Source organism: Homo sapiens, chromosome 1 (assembly GCF_000001405.40).
Source record: "Homo sapiens chromosome 1, GRCh38.p14 Primary Assembly".
In the NCBI taxonomy this organism is placed as follows: domain Eukaryota; kingdom Metazoa; phylum Chordata; class Mammalia; order Primates; family Hominidae; genus Homo; species Homo sapiens.
Genome location: NC_000001.11, coordinates 227,500,584 through 227,522,078, shown reverse-complemented (window position 1 = coordinate 227,522,078; position 21,495 = coordinate 227,500,584). Strand labels below are relative to the sequence as shown.

The following is a 21,495-nucleotide window of genomic DNA, read 5'->3' as shown; positions in this document are numbered from 1 at the left end:
ACAGCGCCTCACAAGTTAAGACCCATTGACTTGGAATTCCAGCTGGCCAGCGGCAGAAGGCTGGAGAGGCGGAGATGGACCACGTTCCCGGGGGGAGGGGCAGTCGCTATATCTGTGGTTTGAGTTGGCCGCTCTAGTCTGCTGGCACCAGGGACTGGGGGGCAGTTCACCACAACGCAGCACAGCTGCTGTGCCTGATTGTGGTCAGGAACTTGTGTTTGCCATCCCATTCCTTTTTCTCCTCTACTGTTTCTAGTCATGGGGATGTTTTATTTCACAAACTAGAGCACCGACTTCTTGGCAACAGATAAACTTTTGGCTTTGTGACACCCACCAACCAAACCTGAAGTATAACTCAACCCTGATTATAACTGCCACATTTGTGATTCTTTTAATTAAGAAAAACACTCGATGTTATAATGGTAGCTTTTCTTTTCATAAACCTATATATCTTAGCACAGAGCACCAGCTCAGCCTGTTTGGGTTTGGCATGGTATGTTCCCACGCGTTGTCTTTGATTCTATAACAAACAAGTCTTCCAATTGGCCTCATTCAGGACACCCTCACCCCTCAGACTTCTACTCTCTACAAATACAATTCTGCCTGAACTCTCTAACTGGATCTATTCTATCATTAGCTGCCATAACTACAACCTCAGTACTCATTCTTTGTTGTTTCTTAGCTCTTGATTTGTTCATTTAATTGACTTATTTGAAGTTTCTCTATTTCTTCTTTTAAAATTTCCTTGGCCAGTGCTCACAGAAAAAAAAAAAAACTGTCAACTAAGAATCCTACACCTAGCAAAGCTATGTATCAAAAATTGAGGATTGCTTGAGTTTAGGAGTTCAAGACAGGCCTGGGCAACATAATGAGACCTCATCTCTGCTAAAAATAAAAAATACATATTAGCTAGATGTGGTGGTGTGCACCTGTAGTCTCTAAGCTACTTGGGAGGCTGAGGTGAGAGAACTGCTTGAGCTCAAGAAATCTAGGCTGCAGTGAGCTATGATTGTGCCACTGAACCCTAGCCTGAGTGACAGAGTGAGGTCCTGTCTCAAACGAACAAACAACAACAACACAGAACCTTAGGCAATCTAACAAAAATGTAGTTTTGGTCAATTTTTGCTATTTTAAATTCCTGATTTTTCTTTACATTCTAATGCAAAGGGAAATGAAAGCACTGGTGAGACCTAGGCTGGAGGGGCCTGCCCTCGGCCTACTGTATGTTACCTCTGGGTGACCTCTGCAAAATCTCCAGAGGCATCTTGGGTGAGGAATAAGCCAATGTGAGCATCTCAGAAAAGGTTTTCACTTTAGGCCTTCCTGAAGCAAGAGCCTAAGAGAGTTGGGATAGAGCAGGAGCACATCATGCTCTCTTAAGCATTTCCCACCAAGTGACCTGGATACAGGGCTGTCTCTAGGGTGTGGGTGCTTGGCTACCAGAGTTCTAAGTTTTGTTGGGGTCTGTCACCAAGGTAGTAAGATGGCTTTTTCAAAGTTTCATCCTCTGGGCTCCTGGCTTCCATAAGACCTACCCAAAGGCCCTGCTGGGCTATTGACTGCTCACTATCCCTGCATGTCAACTCTTTACCTGTGCACAGTTATGCAAGTACAGCCCTTCTCAGTTCCCTGGAAAGACCTGAATGCAGCCAGGGCCTCAGGTGTGAGATCACAGATCCAGGTAACAATCTACTTTTTCTTACTAGTTCTGTGACACCAGAAAAGTTATTGTGGGTTTTGGGGCCTTTCAACATGTACAATGGGGTAACATGCCAGCATCTCCTTCCTAGGGAACTCATCAGGTGTGTATGAGATAAAACTTGTAAAACTCATGGTGTGGCATCCCACGTAGATAACGCACACACTTAGAGATAAAAGAATTATAAGGAATGGGAGGTAGCATAAAATACAATTCAAACAAGCCTGTGTCCAGCAGTGTGTTATTGGAAAGTCACTTCCCCTCTCAGCCCCATTTTTCATTCTGCACCAGTAAGAGTTTCCGATGAAATGAAATTCAGATATTGTCATCCTCTGACATTACTCCTTTCAGTGCCTTCTCATTATATTCAGAATCAGACCCATGTCCTTCATTTTGGCCTATGTGTTGGGCAGCCTATAGGAAGGGCTCACAACACTAAGGAGTTAGTGACTCACTTCTGACCAACAGAATGCAACGAAAATGATGGGATAACACTTCTGTCCTAGGTCACGCTGTTATAGCAAAGATAGACTGAGCCGCTTATCAACAACAGAATGTTCTTCTTCACAGTTCTGGAGGACAGAAGTTGAAGATCAGAACGCCAGCATGGATGGAGTCTGGTGAGAACTCTCTTCTGAGTTGCAGACTGTAGACTTTACATTGTATTTTTACCTGACAGATAGTGGAGGAAGGAGCTCTCTGGGGTTTCTTTTATAGAGCCAGTAATCCCGCTCATGAGGGTTTCACCTTCAGGACCTAATTACCCCCCACTTCCTAGTACTGTTATACGGGGGACCAGGATTTCAACATATACAATTTTTGGTGGGGAAATGTTTAGTCTATTGCAACTCTCATTATGTTATTATCCAAAAAGCTGCCATTTTCTCCTAGTCACTTTCTTCTGTGTGTTCTTCCTCAATCTCTCTCATCTCTTCTGTTTACTCTGTCCAGTGTTTTCTCCCTCATTCTCTTTCTCTGTCAATATGTATTTTTCTTCCTGACTTTCTACTGCATTCCTCAAATTCAGAAAGCAAGCTCCAGTGTTATGAGCTGCCCTGTGCAGAGGCCTACACAACAGAGAATGAGGGAGTGCCCAGGCCAGGGGAGACTCTCAGGCTCTCAGTCTACACTGAATCCAGCCGATACCCACATGAGTGTGCCTCGAAGCCAATCCTCCCACAGCCCAGCTTCAGCTGAGAACACAGCCCCAGCCTCATTGCAGGCAGCCAGCAAAGCTGTGTCCAGATTCTAGTCCACCTAAGTCATGAGATAAGTAAGCATTTGTTGTTCGAAGGTGCTAAGTTTGGGGATAATGACGTCAGAGAGAAGCAGATCACTATCTTCTTCTTCCAGGCCTCAGAGTCCTCCTTGCCTCTCTACTTCTCTTCCCCAGGCTCCCTCTAGCCCCACTGGCCTCTTTCTCACATCCTCTGCCAAAGTCACTTCTGCCTGCATGTCTCTGCACCAGGAGTGGCATCTCCCTGATACACTGTTCCCAGACTTGTGCAGGGCTAGCCCTCTGTTGTCATCCTAGTCATGGCATAAATGTCACCTCAGTGAGGCATTTGGGTCCCTCAAATGCTATGGCTCCCCAGCCCTCCCTCCCAACATCCTACTTTAATTATAGCATTTACTCTTCTTTTATATGCACTTGCTTTAGTGTTTTTGTCCATATATCCTCAGACTGTGGGCTCCTTGAGTGGGGGAAAGGGCCACTCAATCATTTCCCAGCACCACATGCTGGGCCCACCAGGGCACTTCGCACAGGTTTAGTTCTGCGGCAGGGTTGCTGGGTGAATAAATGAGGGAATGTCTAACCTCCTTACCTGATTCTGATCACCTCATAATGGTATATTTCTTACAAGAAACACAGTAATTATAGTTGATAGTAAAACATAAATGACAAAATAAAATTTCTGAAGTTTCCTGTTGAGCATTTATGATAGCTTTTATTATATAATTATCCCAGTTAAGATTTTAAGTTTTATAACTTTTACATAGATTTTTAATAAAAACCCGTTTTAACTCTGAGTTCTGACAATGTTTTATAGTCTATCTCCAAATTCTTCTATAATTTAATAATTTTATTCATGTTTTTATGAATGATTTTGACCCTGATATTTATTCTGGAAAGAGGAATTCTACAAATTTCCTACCAGGTCAGACATTTCATCATCCAGGATTTAGCATCTGATGTTCCAATTAACAGGTGTACAAGTTGATATGTCAAGTAACCCTGGGCCATGTATGCCCTAAATAATTCTAAATTATTTGATGAATATTTGACTTTGTTTAGTTTTTAAAAATTGTTAATTATAACTTGTTAGTTCATGTATAACTTGTTAGTTCATGTAGACTCTGAACTCATGCGCTAGATTTAAATTCTGCAGTCGCTTATATATCTGGGTCATGGTAAATGTGGATCTTTAGATGTAAGAAAGTTGGGAATTTATGACAGTTGGGAAAATAATTTCAGAACAAAAAGCAAGAAGGAGAAGTCAGTGGTGGGGCAGAGGAGAAGAGAGATCAGAATCCTAAGGGGCAGGAGGGAGAGCTGCACACCAGGAAGCAACGGAAAGACAAGGAGGGGAAGGATTTACTAAAAAATGTATCTAGTTTTTGTTACTTCTGATTGTAAAATTTTTCATCTTTAGCCATCTTTAACCACAGAATATTTTAGTGGAGCAATGTTTAATTCAGAATTATATGTGGACTCCTTTGCCTACCAACTAAAAATACTGCCCATTGGACCCGAGGAATCTTGGTTTTTCTAACATGCCTTTCAAAGGAACAATGTTTCTCTAGTCAATCATTAATGTGGCCATTAAAGTTTCAAATAATCCTTGATGAAGTAATGCTATTCAGAGAAATAAGCGTAAGAATTGTAATAAAAGTATATATAAGTACCAATAGTTTTGTCCTAAAATGAAGAGTATTTAGAGGACAGTTTGTATGTAATTCTGTGCACCTAATGTCTAGGCCCTAATGTGATGGTTGGCCATATCTTAAAGCAGAAAAAAGCCTGTGATCCTGGTGGGTATAAAACCAGAGAAAACATGCTCTATGGATTAAAGATGTTTTCTTAAGACAAAAAAAGTGAAAGGAGAATGTAACCAGTTTCATAGTAACTGACAGCAATATTTATCCAAATTGATGCTGATCCAGGGAAAACCACTAACTGTCCTCTCTGTGAGGTTGGCTCAAACAATAGGCTCAAAGGTCCTATGCCTATGGCCTACCCTTGGGTTATTCTTACAAAAAATAACTTTAGGCATCATAACACATAACAGTAACACAAGGATAGCGCAATGAGATGAAGATGGCCTGATTCTACCAAGAATGTCAAAGAAATGGAGTCTACAAAATCTAGGCACCAAACTCAGGATAAATAGCTGCAGAACTCAATAGAAAAAGAACAGAGTTCAGCTCTTATGCTGGCTTACCACATCATCATGCACTTGACAAGTCAGGAAAAGCAAGGCAAAGGGGACCTTCATGGGTGGTGCACATAGTCAAGGCTGTCACCTATGGCAGTGGGTAGTGCAGAATATATCTCAGTGGAATCTTCATGTGACCATGAAAATTAGCAGACCACCTGAGGTAAGTGCCCCATTCAAGTGTATCATTTTTAAATCTTTTATACCATATTTTTACTGTACCTTTTCTATGTTTATATACACAAATGCTGACCCTTGTGTTACAATTGCCTACAGTATTCAGCACAGTAACATGCTATACAGGTTTGTAGTTTAGGAGCAATAAGCTATACCAGATAGTCTAGGTGTGTGATAGGCTATACCACCTAGGTATGGCTATACCACCTAGGTATAGCTATACCACCTAGGTTTGTGTAAGTACATTCTATGATGTCCATGCAGCAATATTACACAGTGGTGCGTTTCTCAAGATATATCTCCATTATTAAAAATGTATGTTTGTATAAAAAATAAAATGGATGTTGAAAGTGTGAAATTGCTATATATCATTTCATAACATATAACCCCAAAACTTTGTGGCATAAAATCACAATATTTATTACCTAATTGAGTTTCTGTAAATGAGGAATTCAAGAACAATTTATCATGGTGGTTGTGCCTCAGGATATCTCATGTGGTTACAGAGTTTAACTGGGGCTGTCATCCAAAGCCTTGACCGAAACTAGAAGATCCACTTTCAAGTTTGCTCACATTCACGGCCCACAAGTTGGTGGGGTTTGTAATTGAAGGCCTCAGGTTCTCTTCACATGGATATTTTTGTAAGGTTGCTTGACTGTTCTCACCAAATAATTGCTGGTTTCTTCCACAGTGAGTGCTTAGGAAAAAGCAAAGCATAAGTGGCAAAATCTTTATGCTCTAGACTCAGAAATCACACTTGTTCACTTCTGTCACATTCTATTCACCAGAGAGGATTATTAAACTTGACATACTTTCAAGAGGAAGAAAATTAGGATCAATGAAAGGACTTCAATAAGTTTGTAAAAAAAAAAAAAAAAAAAACAAAGTAAAACACAAAAACAAAATATATACTTTATTTCTCAACATAAGCTTCATCAAATGCAAGACACTTTTATAAGCAATAATACCTATCCCTACAAAAACTAAGGTCCTGGGAATTTAACCATGTCAAGATAGTCTTTTTTACATCATTAACTGAAGAAAATGGGTGTCCTGAAACCATCCCCCCGTCTTTTTCTGATTTTTTTAAGATCAGAAAAGAAAATGAAGAAGTTAGCAGGAGCCAAATCAGGGCTAAAAGGTGGATGCCCAATAATATTCCATTGAAACTGGCAAAATTGTCTTTTTTTTGATGAGAGGAATGAGGAGAACATTGTTGTGGTGGAGAATTCTCTGGTGAAATTTCCTGGAAGTTTTTCTTCTAAAGCTTTAACTTTCTCAAAATACTCTCATAATAGCACGTGTTATTGGGGTTTGGTTTTGGTCCTCTAGAAAGTCAACAAACAAAATGCCTTGAGCATCCTAAGACACTGTTGCTATGAGCTTTGTTCTAGACAGTCACCTTTTGCTGTGACTGGACCACTTTTACCTCTTGGTAGCCATTGCTTTTATAGTGTTTTGTCTTGAGGATTTCACTAGAACAGCTGTGTTTGACCTCCTCTTACAATTATTTGAAGAAATGCTTCAGGATCTTGATTCCACTTATGTAAAATTTCAGTTGAAAGCCCTGCTCTTGTCTGCAGCTGATGTGGAAACAAGAGTTTTTTAATCTATTGAGTGGAAAAGTTTTCAAAATTGTGTATATTTAACCAGTTGAGATGGCTATGATGTTAGCTGTTGTTTATGCTGTTGTCATTCCTAAAGCAGGGCATGAACAAGTTTTTTTTTTTTTCTGGTGAATTAATGTGAATTGTCTGCCACTGCAGGCTTTATCTTCAACATCGTATCCCTTCTTCAAATGAGTTATTCATTTGTAAACTTGTGAATGTTGGGGGGCAGTGTTCTCATAAACTTGTCATAAAAGAATCAGTGATTTTACTATTCACCCAAAATTGCCATATTGCTATAAATTTTATGTTTATTCTTGCTTTAATTTTAGCAGAATTCATGTTGCTCTAATGGGACCTCTTTTCAAATTGGTGTCTTAGTTTTCTTATTATAATTCCTCAAATTAGATCCTGTTCAGACATGTTATAAGAAGTTAGTACAAGTTTATTTAGGTGCAAAATATTTTTGAAATCTATGCATAGTTTCTTCATAATATGCACTTCCTATGAACTTTTTGAAGATGCCTCATACTTTTTGAAGACTTTCAAATAATTTTTGAACATATTTTTAAACTACCACAAAAAAATTATCTATAGCACCGAATTTCAGATTTACCAAGTTTGTGATAAGTATAATAACCAATGGAAATACCAGATGGGCAGTTTAGCTATTGAAATAGAATTGGAGTTAAATGATTATAGAGGTATTCAGTAAAGACCTGCAGGCATTGAAAAGCATTAAAAAATTTAGAAATCAAAGAACAGGATTATATGTACCATTTAAGAGGAGGAAGATGAGAGGAAATATATCAGAAAAAAAAAGAGCACAGAGGAGGATCAATAACAGCAAATGTTATGTAAAACTTAAGGACAGTGTAGCCATTGCTATTCTCCACAGAGCACTGACATTTCCTTGTCAATAGTATCACTGAAATGCCTGCTTCCATTTCCAACATCCTGTCTTTGTGAAGCAGGGTTTTTTGCAGTGACAGCAACCAAAACAAGGTTACAGAGTAGATTGGACATAAGCACCACATTTTGGGTGTCACTGTCTCCCATCATCCCCTGATGGAACTGTCTAGTTGCAGGAAAACAAGCTCAGGTCTCCCACTGATTCTATATTATGATGAGTTGTATAATTATTTCATTTTATAATACAGTAATAATGGAAATAAAATATGCAATAAATGTAATGTACTTGAATCATCCTGAAACCATCCCCCTGTCCAGTCCATGGAAAAGTTGTTTTTCACAAAACCAGTCCCTGGTGCCAAAAAGACTGGGGACTGCTGCAATATAGGAATAACAATATAAAGAGAGGAAAACACGAAACCTATCACATCTTTAATAGTATATGTACTGATGGTGTACAGAATACACTAATTACATTCATTCATTTAATATCAACCAATACCTACAAATCACATACAAATGCCTGGAATTATTTTAGGAGAACGGTGAACAAAAAAGCAAGAGAGACAGCAAATTAAAAATATACATGTATGATTATCAGAGCAAGACCCCATCTCTACAAAAAAAATTCTACACACATACGCCAGGTAGTAATGAGTACTAATTAAAAAAATGAAGAGTGAGAGGAGAAAGAGACAGATAAGTTAATTCATGTAGAACAATCAAGGAAGGTTTTCTGCGATGACAGTAGTTACCAGCGCAGGTTTTAGAATCAGATGCCAGTTTTAATCGTGGCTCCATGTCTTATAGCTGGGTATTCCATGGACAATTTAGTCTACTTTTAAATCTCACTTTTCTTTTTTTTTTTTTTTTTGAGTTGGAGTTTCACTCTTGTTGCCCAGGCTGGAGTGCAATGGCATGATCTCAGCTCACCACAACCTCCGCCTCCCAGGTTCAAGCGATTCTCCTGTCTCAGCCTCCCTAGCAGCTGGGATTATAGGCATGTGCCACCACGCCCGGCTAATTTTGTATTTTTAGTAGAGATGGGTTTCTCCATGTTGATCAGGCTGGTTTCGAACTCCCGACCTCAGGTGATCCGCCCACCTCAGCCTCCCAAAGTGCTGGGATTACAGGCGTGAGCCACTGCGCCCAGCCAGGTCTTTTAATAATTTATGATAGCTTTATATATATATTACCCAAATTAGCTTTTTGTCTGTCATGTATGTTGCAGATCTATTTCCCCAGTCTGTTGACTTTTGACTTTGAGGCATTTTTCTCTCATAGAAAGTTTTAATTTTTACAGAGTCAAATGCATCAATCTTCTATACAATGACTTCATGGGTATGGTGTTTCAGTTTAGAATAAAAAAGTTGTAGATATGAATAAAGGAGATGGCTGTACAACACTGTGAATATACTGGATGTGACTGAACTGTACATTTGAACATGGTTAAAATTGTAAGTTTTATGATATGTACATTTTACCACCAAAAAAAGGACAGGCTTAGATGTTTATTATATATTAGGGGTTTGGAGTACCTGTAATATTTATTCCCCTCCAGGGCTCTAATTTATAAAACACCCAAACAAGAAAAGTAGATATTGACTTCACAAATCCCCATGGCACCTTACAAGCCCCACAGCACGGGCTGTCTGGGAAAGTAGAGGTAGAAAAAGTCACATAAACTTGAGGTCAATGTGAGACCTCCCCTACTCTGGAACCAGATGGAGGAAGGCATGCATGCAGGCTGACCTGGAGAGATGGGGTGGGCAGAACAGTCCTCCCATGAGCCCAGATCTTAAGTGCTCTCACATGCTCTCAGGCATGTATCAAACCAAGAAAGCAGGCTAAGAGGGTAACACATCTACCTGTATACAGGGAGCTATGAAATATCTGAGCTGAGCAAGTGATGCACAAGAGGACAGAATCAGTATGACCTTTATACAGTGACCTGGCTCAAATAATTCCAGGCTGTCATTAACCAGGTGAGCTCCTCTAGAGGGGGTGAAGTGGGAGTTGGGGATCATGGAAAAGAAAGCATGGTAGCATTTCTTCTAACTCTATCATAAATAAAAAGGCCAGGCAAGGTGACTCACACCTGTAATCCCAGCACTTTGGGAGGCCAAGGCAGGTGGATCATGAGGTCAGGAGATTAAGACCATCCTGGCTAGCACAATGAAACCCCGTCTCTACTAAAAATGCAAAAAATTAGCTGGGCCTGGTGGCATGCACCTATAGTCCCAGCTACTTGGGAGGCTGAGCAAGAGAATCACTTGAACCTGGGAGGCGGAGGTTGCAGTGAGCCAATATTGTACCACTGCACTCCAGCCTGGGTGACAAAGCAAGACTCTATCTAAAAAAAAAAAAAAAAAAGTAACACATCAATGCCCTTTCTCAGGACCCAAATGTCAGGTGAAAAAAATTTTTGTCATCTCAGTCATGTAATATGGACTTTAGCAGAGCAGTATACACATGGTCATTTACTCTTTTCTCTCTGCATGTTATATGCTTTTTCAATTTTACAAGGTAACTGATCCATTTGTTTCATTATACTAGCTGTGAACAAGGCTGCTGAATGTCACACCAGATGGCCAGCATGTCTGTGAAGGGCAGAAACTGGGTCAGCCAAACAGCTGGCAGAGGCCAGCTAGTAAGTACCTGGTGCCCACTCCACAGAGGGCTCCACACTTAAAAGACAAGACGAGCAAATGCCAGGCTGCCTCACTAGTTATCCCCCAAATAAAAAAATAAAAGTAACCCCTCCAGGGAACAGGTGTATGTCTACACCTAAGTACGTGTACACAGCTGCATGCAAAGGGGAAAGGCTTGGAAGGAATCAAACCCATCTCTGAACAGCAGTTACTTCTGGGGAAGGAGCAGGTGCTGAACAGCAGTTACTTCTGGGGAAGGGGCAGGTGAAGCCGACTCTCAGCCTTATTCACCTTTTCAACTGATGAGCTGCATCAATTTTAGCAATTTTTTTTAAAAAAGGCAATTTGTACTCCTTGGGTGATCACACAGGCCTTGCAAAACTGAACCACCAACAACCACCTGCACCACTTCCCATGAGGCCAAATAATGGCTTCCCTCGAAGCTCAGCCCTCCCACGCACTTTTCAGTCCTGGTCCCGTGCAGAGGGCTACTGACATCCTGGGGTACAGGGGACTAGGCTGAACCCACCCCACAGATTCCTGGTGAAACCAACATGTATCCAATGGCCTTTCCCCAACCTGGGCCATGTGCCTACTGCATAAATATGCCTGTTCTTGCTCCCCTAGGACAGAGGCTCCCTTTTCCTACAGTTGGAATGAGGGATGGGGAGATTTGATGGTGTCCTGTACAAGTTGGATGTTAATTTGACGTGGTGCTGCTGGAGAAGCTTGCCTGAGTCAGGCACATTCTCAGCACGTGGTATGTGCTGCCCCTTCAAAGCTGCAGGAGTCTCAGAAGGTAGGTGCTACCACAACCCCCATTTACTGGTGAGCAGAGGTCAGGTGACCTGCAGCCAGCCAAGCAGCTGCTAAGTGGCCAACAGGCTGGATCTGCATCTCACTTGCAGAGGCCCTGCCTGGCTGCTGGGGCTGCCCTGGAGACTCACCCTGCCTCCTCCTCCTCTTCCCTCCACAGTTATGCTGGCTTCTATCCACAGCTGCACTCCAGGTGGGGAATACCTATGGATGCACCAGGGTGCAACTACTCAAAGACTCCAGTGTGCAGAAGGGCCCCTGCTCCATGTTGTTCCCATATCCAAGCCCAAGCTCATCTAGGACTTCAGCAAACCCAAGCTTCCCTGAATTCCCTGCTGAGACCAAACTGAGCCCTGTGACCCACACTACTACACTGGTTAGCTGCCAGTCCCAGCCCCTGCTCCCTCCTGGGCCCCTGTCTGTACAGTTCTGAAGTCCTACAAGAATGTTAAGATCCTAAGCCGACTCTCACCCAGGGTGGTAAACAACCAGGAGCCACCAGGGGTAGAGAACATACCCAGATAGGTTGTGCTGCCTGTAGGCTTAATGTCCTTCCCTGACTACCCACCATGCTTGCCAGGCTGGAAGGGGGACTCCAGAAACTTGGGAAACCCAGGCTTACAGCTGGCATATGGAAAACAGGCCTGGAAGAGCACCACTCCTGTCCATGAAGCCCCCCAGATGAAACCAGGTAATTATGAAATACATGAGTACCATGCCTGACCCCCACTCAGACTCAGGTGGGAACCGCAGCAGTGACTTGCCCCTTCTGCCACTCCGGCTCTACCATTGCAGGAGGGAGGAACATCTGACCCCACGCACAAGTGGAGACACTAGGTGTGGGCAGGTCCCAGTGGTTGCTGCAGGTGAACCTTCCCAACCAACCACACAAGGCCATCTCAGGTGGGTGCACACCTGGGCTGGGCTGGGCAAGGACACCCCTCAGAGGGTAAGAGCCACTGAGGAGGGCTGTCACAGAGGCCCCTTTTCCTGCTCTGAGAATAGGTTCGGGGAGTAGGGGGACCTCTCCCACTCCTTCCAGGAGCCACGTCTTTCAAGATGAGGCACTCTGCCTCCCTGTTCCCATTTGGCCCCAATAGGCCATTGCCAACATTCAGAGAACAAAAAGAAAGGAGCCTCACCCGTTTTCCCTGACACATCGGAGGCAGGTGGGTATGCCCAGGGGACCTGGAATAGAACCCGTTCATCTGCCCAGCCCGAGGCTGTGCTGGCTTCATCTTGTCTATCTGTGTGATGCAGGGAGGAGATACCAAGAGGTCATCACACAGGCCATGGACGAGTTCTACAAGAGCCAGGTAGAAGAGAACTGTCCAGGCATGCTGCCCAGCACCCAGCTCACACACGCATCTCTTATTTGAAGCTTCCCCAAAGCAGGTCTTGAAGTCCAGCCTCCCTGAGAAGCTGCGGAGGAGACTCGGCTGAGCTAAAGGGCCTATCACCAAATGTGCCACCCTTGCTTGTCTCATCCTGGCAATCTTGGATTATTTTTGCCCTGAAATTTTGGAGCAGGGGACAGGGAAGACAGAAGACAGTGTGTATCAGCCCTCCAGACTGAGGCAGGTCAGACCTCCACTCGGGTACTTTTCTCCTCACTAGTTGCCAGCTGGGGGAAGCAGCACTTGTGAGCACCTGCCTGTCTCCCCAGGTCCTGTTGAGAAACCCCATCTGTGCCTTTAGAGACTGCCCAGATTACACAGACCCAGCAACCGCATCTACAGCCCCCAGGGCCTATCCCTTTCTACATGGGTTTCACTGCATGTGAGTACACGGTGGGCTTGATTCCTGCCCACTACTCCCTGCCAGATACCCCATGCCCTCCTCATGAAGAAAATGAGGCCACACGGACACACTCAACCCATCATGGTGAGAGGGTGGCTGAGGCTCTACTTGCCTACCCTTCATTGCTGGTTCAGGGCCAGCTGTCTGGCCATATCCCTACCCAGAGGTGGGACTTTGGGGACATTGTCCACCGGGATCACTGGCCACTTTTAAAGTTCCAAAAACAGAAGATCAGCTAGTCCCCTCAGAGTTCAGTACATGGGATAAGCTGCAGCTTGCCTTCAGGAACAGGTTTCCCACCAAGTAGATGCCCAAGGCCCAGGGCACGCCCAAGTTTGTGTGAAGCCTGTCTGCCATGTCCAAAGCCCATGCTGACCCCCCCAACCCTGGAGCCACTGGAATGCTTGTTCCTGGGCATATAAGACCAAGATAGCTGCAGCCTTGCAGGACCACTATGCCCATCTGGCAGCAGCACCCAGAGGGCCTAGAGAAAGAAGTTGGAGGTGAAACCAGATGCTGTTAGGATGTTTTATCAGGCAAAACCACATACTATAAAAAGGCTTTAAAATGCAACAGAAGGAGATGTGAAGACACAAACAAGTGCCTAGTGACACATGGCTATCAGAACACATTAGAGAATCCACACCACTTCCCCCCTTTAACCAGAAAGGGCAGGCTTTAGGCCACCTCCTCCTCCTCGGCTGTGGCGTCCTGGTACTGCTGATACTCAGACAGCAGGTCGTTCATGTTGCTCTCCGCCTCGGTGAACTCCATCACGTCCATGCCCTCGCCCGTGTACCAGTGCAGGAAGGCCTGGAACACACTTGAACAGCTCCCGGATGGCCGTGTTGTTGCCAATGCAGGTGGCCATTTTTAGCCCCTTGGGTGGGATGGCACAGATAGCCATTTTCACATTGTGAGGGAGCCAATCAGCAGAGTACCTGCTGTTCTTATTTTGAATATTGAACATTTGCTCATCCACCTCCCTCATGGGCATGCAACCTCTGAAAACGGCAGCCACTGTCAGGTAGTGGCCATGACGGGGCTCACAGGCAACCATCATTCTTAGCATCAAACATCTGCTGGGTGAACTCAGCCATGGTCAGGGCCGAGTACTACTGGCTGGCTGCCCCGGCTGGACAGTGGAGCAAAGCGAAGCATGAAGAAGTGTAGCCAGGCAACTAGGATCACGTTCGTGGCCAGCCTTTGCAGATCAGTATTCAGCTGGCCTGGGAAGAACAGGCACGTGGTGACCCCACTTGTGGTAGCAGAAACCAGGTGATTCAGGTCACCGTAGGTGGGTGTGGGCAGTTTTAGGGTTCTGGAACAGATGTCACACAGAACTACAGAGCTTCACTATCAATGCAAAAGGTCTCATCTGCATTTTCCATGAGCTGGTGGACTGAGAGGGTGGCATTGTAGGGCTCCACCACGGTGTCTGACACCTTGGGCAAAGGCAGAACACTGAATGTGTTTATGATCCTGTCTGGGTACTCCCAGATCTTACTGATGAGAAGAGTATCCATCAGAGACCCGGTACCCCTACCCAGGGAGTGGGTAAGCTGGAAACCCTGCAGGCAGTCACAGCTCTCAGATTCTTTTTCACAACATCCATCAGCGTCTCCTTCAGCTCTGCACCTTCTGTGTAGTGCCCCTTGGCCCAGTTGTTCCCGGCCCCACACTGACCTGTAAGACAACACAGCAAGTCGCTGGATGGCCAGATATACAGTCATCAGGGGTCACCACAATGCAAAAAAGGGCCAAGTGTCACGTGTGAGGTGAAAGCACCATTCACCCTGCAGGTGGAGCAGGTGGACCTCCCTCCCCCAAAGCTGAAGGACAGCAGCCTCCCCTGTTAGAAGTTAAGTCAGGAGCCGAACCTGAGACAGCCTAACACAACAGACCTGGCTGCAGGTGGCTCCTGCCCATCCCCAAGAAAAGCAGCAGCCACTGCCCCCAGCCCAGCTCCCTGCAGAAAGATTGCATCAGCAGCTCCTCTCAGGCAGACAGCTGGGCCTTCCTCCCAAAGCCCGTTTAGGAGAAGGAGATTGCGTGACTCAGGATGGGAGGGTGTTCAGGGGCCCTAGCTCCACAGTTCCCACAGCGATGACTTTGGGGCACTCCTTGAATTTGAGCGGCCCTGGCTAAGGAGCCTCACCCCAGTCCTCACCCGCAGCTCACCGAAGATGAAGTCGTCCGGCCTGAAGATCCTCCCGAATGGCGCTGAGCACACAGAGCCGATGGTGCCCGGCTCCACATCCACAAGCACAGGGCGGGGCACGTACCTGCCACCTGACGGGGGCGGGAGGGCATCAGCGAGGAGAGGGCCGCCATTCCCAGGAGGGCGGCTGGGGAAGGACAGGGGTCTCACCGCTGGCCTCGTTGTAGTACATGTTGATGCGCTCCAGCTGCAGGTCCCTGTCCCCGTGGCAGGTGCCAGCAGAGTCGATGGCATGTTCATCAGAGATCACCTCCCAGAACTGCGAGAGACACGAGGGGCCAAACAGGCCAGGGCTGAGTCACGGAGGCCAGGGAGCCCGAGGCTCCCCAGCCCCTCTCCTATCCCCACCCCCAGGCCGCTGGATCCCTGGGGGTCCGCCCTGGCTGCCTAGCCAGCCACCCAGCTCCACCGCGTCCCAGGCGCGGAGACGGGGGGCCGCAATACAGCCCCAGCCGCTGCCAACATCTTCTCGGGCCACCCGGCAGGCCCGCGCTGGGCCCTCAGAGCCCCGGCCACCAACCTTGGCACCGATCTGGTTCCCGCACTGCCCGGTCTGCCATAGCACGATCTCCCTCATGGCCACTGCTGGACTAGGGCGGCAGGAGAAACGCGAGGAGGAGCAGGAGCGCAGCGACAGGGCCAGTGCTCCGCCAACGCTAAAATAACCCCGCGCCCACCTCCCCCAGCCTCAGATTGGGCTCCCAGAATAAGCAACAGCTTTACTTCCACACAGGTGTACCCACCTGTGAATCCCTTGGCGTTCAAGGTCTGTTGGAGAGCTCAGGTGGCCTTGCTGTGGTCCTTTCCACGTTGGGGAAAGCTGGTCAGCTGGAGAACTTCCTCCCATGTCTTTAGTAAGACTAAATCCCTAGCTGAGCTGAAATGGAATTTTCCTCCCGTGTGGAGGGGAAGCCTTTTGTTTCCGTGTTCACAGAGTGCCTTTGCACCTGTCCCACATTGATGACATATTTTTGTAATTGATGAGTCCCTTTCTATTAGGAGATCTGTGGTTAGGAGAGGCCTCCCCTATGTTAACTCGACAGGAAGTAATTGTAAGTTTTCCTTTGGAGCAGCTCAAACCCGGAGTAAGCTATGGGTGTTAGAGATAGTCAGGCCTCTGACTTAGCTAGGGTCTTCTTTAGAGTATGATTAACCCTTTCACCTTTCCAGAGGACTGCGGTCTCCATGCAGAGTGAAGGTGATATTGGATTCCTAAAGCTGAGGATAGCTGTTGGGAGACGCCTGCTGTGAAAGATGGGCCATTGTCACTTTGCAGGCCTTTGGATGACCCAAAAGGAGGAATTATTTCTTCTGGTAAACACTTGTCAGATAGGGTGGGGAATGCCTGGATCTAACCAGTGAATGTAACAGTAAGCATTAGCAAATACCTGAATCTCCTACAGAAAGGCATCTGAGTAAATTAGAGTTGCCAGTCCTCACCTGGATAGGTTCCTCAATGTTGGACAGGTTTAACTGGAGGAGGTGAAAATTGCTGGGTCTTTGGGTTATGTCAGACACAGCGCTCACAGGGCTGAGTCACCTGTTTTAGCGTCTTGAAAAGATTTATCCCCATAAACAAATGAGACATTAACTGAAGCAAAGAATCCCTTCTAGGGTGGAAAGAATCATGAAAGTGCTTAATTATTTTCCTACAATGGGTGCTCGGCATTAGTAACTTATTACCATCAGCCAGCCAGCCAGAGGGATCCTGGACTGAACTGCAATCCCTGGCCCATTTTTGTTCTCTTCAGAGTGTTCTGGCCCAGCTCTGTGTACGCTGAGCAGTATGCCCAGAAGCTTCACTGGCCCTTTCAGTGCAGTGGCCTTGGCTGACACATCTGTGAGGGCATTTCCTTTTACACGGTCAGTCTCTCTTTTGATGTCCTCTGCAATGAATTACAGCCACTTTTTTTTTTAATGGCGGCAAAGCAGCATTCTAACAAGCTCAAAATCTGAGTAATGTATGGAAAAGCCCTTCGTGGTCAGGAGTCCCTACCCATTCCAAATTGCAGCATAAGCATGAAGCACTAAGAAATCATACTTGGAATCAGTGTAAATGTTAACTTTTAAGTCCTTTCCCAACTGCAGGGCTCTGGTAAGTTTAATTGACTCAGCTTTTGGAGCTGAGGTAGAGGCCAGCAAGGCTTGTGCCTTGATTATCTTGTGCCGACTAATAATAGCATACCTACCCTTCCTGTTTTCCTGATGCATAAGACAACCTGCATCTCTTAACCACTCTTCCTTGGGATGGTCAAGGGGCTCATCTCTCTTAAGTCTGGCCTGCTAGAATAACTTTGTTTCATAACCCGTGATGCGGTTTGGCTGTTAAATCTTATCTTGAATTGTAGCTCCCATAATTCCCGTGTGTCGTGGGAGGGACCCAGTGGGAGGTAATTGAATCAGGGGGCGGGTCTTTCCCATGCTGTTCTTGTGACGGTGAATAAGCCCATGAGATCTGATGGTTTTATTTTTATTTTTATTTTTTATTTTTTGAGACATAATCTTGCTCTGTTGCCCAGGCTGCACTGCAGTGGCGTGATCTCGGCTCACTGCAACCTCTGTCTCCTGGGTTCAAGCGATCCTCCTGTCTCAGCCTCCCGAGTAGCTGGGATTAGAGGCGCCCACCACCAAGCCTGGCTAATTTTTGTATTTTTAGTAGAGACGGGGTTTCACCATGTTGGCCAGGCTGGTCTCCAACTCCTGACCTCAGGCGATCCACCCGCCTCGGCCTCCCAATGTGCTGGGATTACAGCTGATGTTTTTATAAATGGGAGTTTCCCTACACAAGCTCTTTTTGCCTGCTGCCATGTAAGAGAAGTGATTTTGCTCCTCATTTGCCTTCTGCCATGATTGTGAGGCCTCCCTAGCCATGTGGAACTGTCAGTCAATTGAACCCCTTTCCTTTATAAGTTACCCAGCCTCAGGCATGTCTTTGTTAGCAGCAGGAGAACAGACTAATACAACCTGTATGCCAGAAAGGTTGGGAGCACTTGTGGACCCTGGCAGATAAGTAACTGGGTTTATGGTTTGGCAGACTTTAAGGGTTATGTCTGGAGTGTCTAGCAATAAGGCCTGATACTTTAATAAATGTTCTCCTATTATCCACTGGTGCCCTTTAGCTTCTAGGACCACCTTCCCTTGATGTGGGGTCAAAAACCTTTAGGTGCTGTCCTCATGCTAGTTCATTAGCTTTGCCTACTAGAAAAGTTGCAGCAGCAACAGCTCTAAGACATCCAGGCCACCCTGAGGCCACCTGACCTATCTGCTTAGAAAAGTATGTTACAGCCCTTGGAACGTTCCCCAGTTTTGGGACAAGATTACCCAGGGCCTATGCCTTGCTTTTTGGCCACATAAAGATAAAATGATTCATCCAACTTGGGGACTCCCACAGCTGCAGCAGAGCCCAATTTCTCTTTGAGAGTATTGAAGATTTGCTTGCAGTTCTCATTACATTCAAGGAGCTCTAAATCTTTCCCTTTTAGTGCATCCCGTAAATGCTTGGCTACACGTCCAAATCTGGGCACCCGTAAGCAGCAGTACCCAGCCATCCCCTAAAAAGGCCCACAGTCATTTGTTGGACTGCGACTCTTGAATGACTAAAAGAGCTTTTTTACTTCTAGGGATGTTGATCAGTTCCAGAGGTGAATACAGATTCCAAATATTGGAGCCGTTGAGTCAAAATCTGAGCTCTGTATGGTGATACCCTATATCTGCTAGTTCCCAGGAAATTTATCAGTTTAACAGTATTATTATCCGAGTCTTCTTTAGTTGGGCTAGCAATGAGTAAGTCACCTAGATACTGAATAATGGTGCCTGTTTGCAACTGTAAATTTCTTAAGTCCTTAGCTAGGGCATTTTCAAATAAGTGGGGGCTATCCTAGAACCCTTCAGAGAGGACCATCCAGGTTAGTTTTGAGGTTGAATGAGTATCTGGATCAGTCCATTCAAAGGCAAACATATTGCGAATCTGGATACATTGAGATGCAGAAAAATGCATCTTTCAGAACTAAGAATGTAAACCAGCTTGGATCCCCTGGGACTTGGGTAAGGATTGGGGACAATGGGGTGTATGGAGACAACAGCTGCATTTATTAATGCTCTAAGGTTTCTGACAAATCTGTACTTGCCAGATTAGGCTTTTGATCTGGTAACATGGGAGTATTGTAAGGAGACTCTCATGGCCTTAACAAGTCATACGGCAAGAATTTGGCAATAAGGGGTTGAATTTCCCCTCATGCTTCTTGCCTTAAAGTGTATTGTCTCTTCCAAGGGCGAGGAGCACTAGGCCAAAGTTGGATTTGAATGGGGGAAGTGTTTAGTGTGTTTCCCAGAGCCTGTGTGGCCCAAACCTCAGGATTTACTTGTGAGAACACCTCAGGTGGTAAATGTGACAGCTCATCCTTAACTTCTTTTTTTCCCCGAGGGGTCAGGAATAAAAGTCACACTTTCTCTGCTTTATGATCTGTGAAGGTCACCATGGCTTGGTCACTGGAGTCAATAAAGCTCTCCCCAGTGAGAGGTCAGGCATTCAGACAATACTAGAAAGGCAGGTGAGAAGCCCAGAGGCCCTGGAGAACAACTTAGAAGATAAGAAAAGCAGTGTTTTCCGACTTGTCCATCATGAGAAGACGGGAGCCCATCGTATTGAATCAGGACAGAGTCATCTGCCCCCATATCTAATAAGAAGTTAATACTCCTACCTGCCACTTCAAGAGTAACCTGAGTTTCCTCCACCTCTCAATGGCTAATAGTCCAGTGGGAGCGGAGGCAGGAAGTATCAGGCCCTACCACTTTTGGGTCTGCTGGGCTCTGATGATGGCTCTCTTAGAAGCACAGTGCATTCCCTTTGGTAGTGGCTGACCTTCTTACAGAGGGCACATTGATTTATACCCAAGGCACAGTGGCCCAGAGGCCCAGACTGGGACTTTAACCTTCTCACTTCCTCTGTGAGGACCAGGGGTTAAGGGGCTGGCTCTGAAGTGGTGGAGAGCACAAGGCTACAGCTAGAAGCTGGTCCTTTGGGGAGGTTTGTTTTATTTTATGTTTTCTCTGCCCTATTCCTGTGATTAAAGACTGCAAAAGCCAAGTCTAAAAGCGGATTCTTGGGAGTCTGGAGGCCTAATGCTGCTTTTTGCAGCTTCCTGCAGATATCGGAAGCAGACTGGATTATAAAATGAACTCCTAGCAATGCCTGTCCCTTCTTGGAGTCAGGGGCAGTGTTAGTGTATTTCCTCAAAGTCTAAATTATTCACCCTTGTAATAAGGCTAGGTTTTCATCTTTTCTCTGAGTAATTTTCCTGACTTTATAAAAATTAAAAAGCTTCATCACACATCACACTTTTTTTATTCCTTCAAGGAGTCAAGTGATCATAATTTTTTTCTCTATATATCCTACTCTCTTCCTAATTCATTCCTCTTTTCTAGGTCCTAATTCTCTTTTGGGTCCTGGTCAGGCACTGCTGTGCCTCCTACTTGATAGGTGTCATGTCCCTGGATGCAGGCTGCCACTCTATTAGCATGTGCTCTTGCCAATCCCATAATACACTGCTTTTCTACCATGCAGCAGGTAGACATAAATATATGCAAATTTTGCCTGGTCAAATCATACATCAAGGTTAGCCTCTTCAACTTGTCTATGAATTTTTCTGGATCCTCTGAAAACTGTTTAAGTTTTTCCTTGCATATGGCTAATTCAGACACAGAAAAAGGTACATATACCTATATGGTGTCCCCATCATCATCTGCCACTTCCCAGAGCAGGCAAAGATTCAACTTTGCCAGCTGATAAGAGGCTCCACTGCAAGTTGTTCTGGTGAGGCTCGGGTCTTTGAGAGTGGGTATGTATGTAAGACAGGACTCGAAGGTCAGGGAGGAGATGATGACCGGACACTAGATTACCCTGGAAAACCAGAAGGACTTAACATGTTGCACATCTCACCGGAACTGGAAGGAGTCTGTGTTCTTACGGGGTGCTTGGACTTGCAGGGGAGAGTTCAGCCCCAGCTAAGAAAAGCCTAATATTAAGAGGCACTTGCATTAAAGGGTAATCAATTATGTCCAGTTCCTCTTTTGTCTTTTCCTCCATCAAACAAATACAAGCCCATTTTAATTTTTTATCCTGACTAAGCATCAGAGAAGCCTGTACATAGTGTATTTCCTCCCATTTAGTTTCTCT

General features: G+C 45.3%; 1 long non-coding RNA gene and 1 pseudogene across 2 annotated transcripts; one reads left to right on the top strand and one right to left on the bottom strand.

Annotated features, from left to right (window-relative positions):
* Positions 1 to 1,022: 1,022 nt before the first annotated feature.
* Positions 1,023 to 13,793, top strand: LOC105373122 (uncharacterized). Of its 2 annotated transcripts, XR_001738507.1 has the most exons (8): positions 1,023 to 1,681; positions 2,206 to 2,319; positions 11,111 to 11,282; positions 11,460 to 11,675; positions 11,880 to 11,990; positions 12,095 to 12,202; positions 12,305 to 12,468; positions 12,560 to 13,793. It is a non-coding gene; the product is annotated as an uncharacterized LOC105373122 (long non-coding RNA). The 2 variants fall into 2 exon arrangements; XR_949232.2 differs by having other exon boundaries at positions 1,023 to 2,319.
* On the bottom strand, positions 13,610 to 15,952 carry TUBB8P9 (tubulin beta 8 class VIII pseudogene 9; annotated as a pseudogene).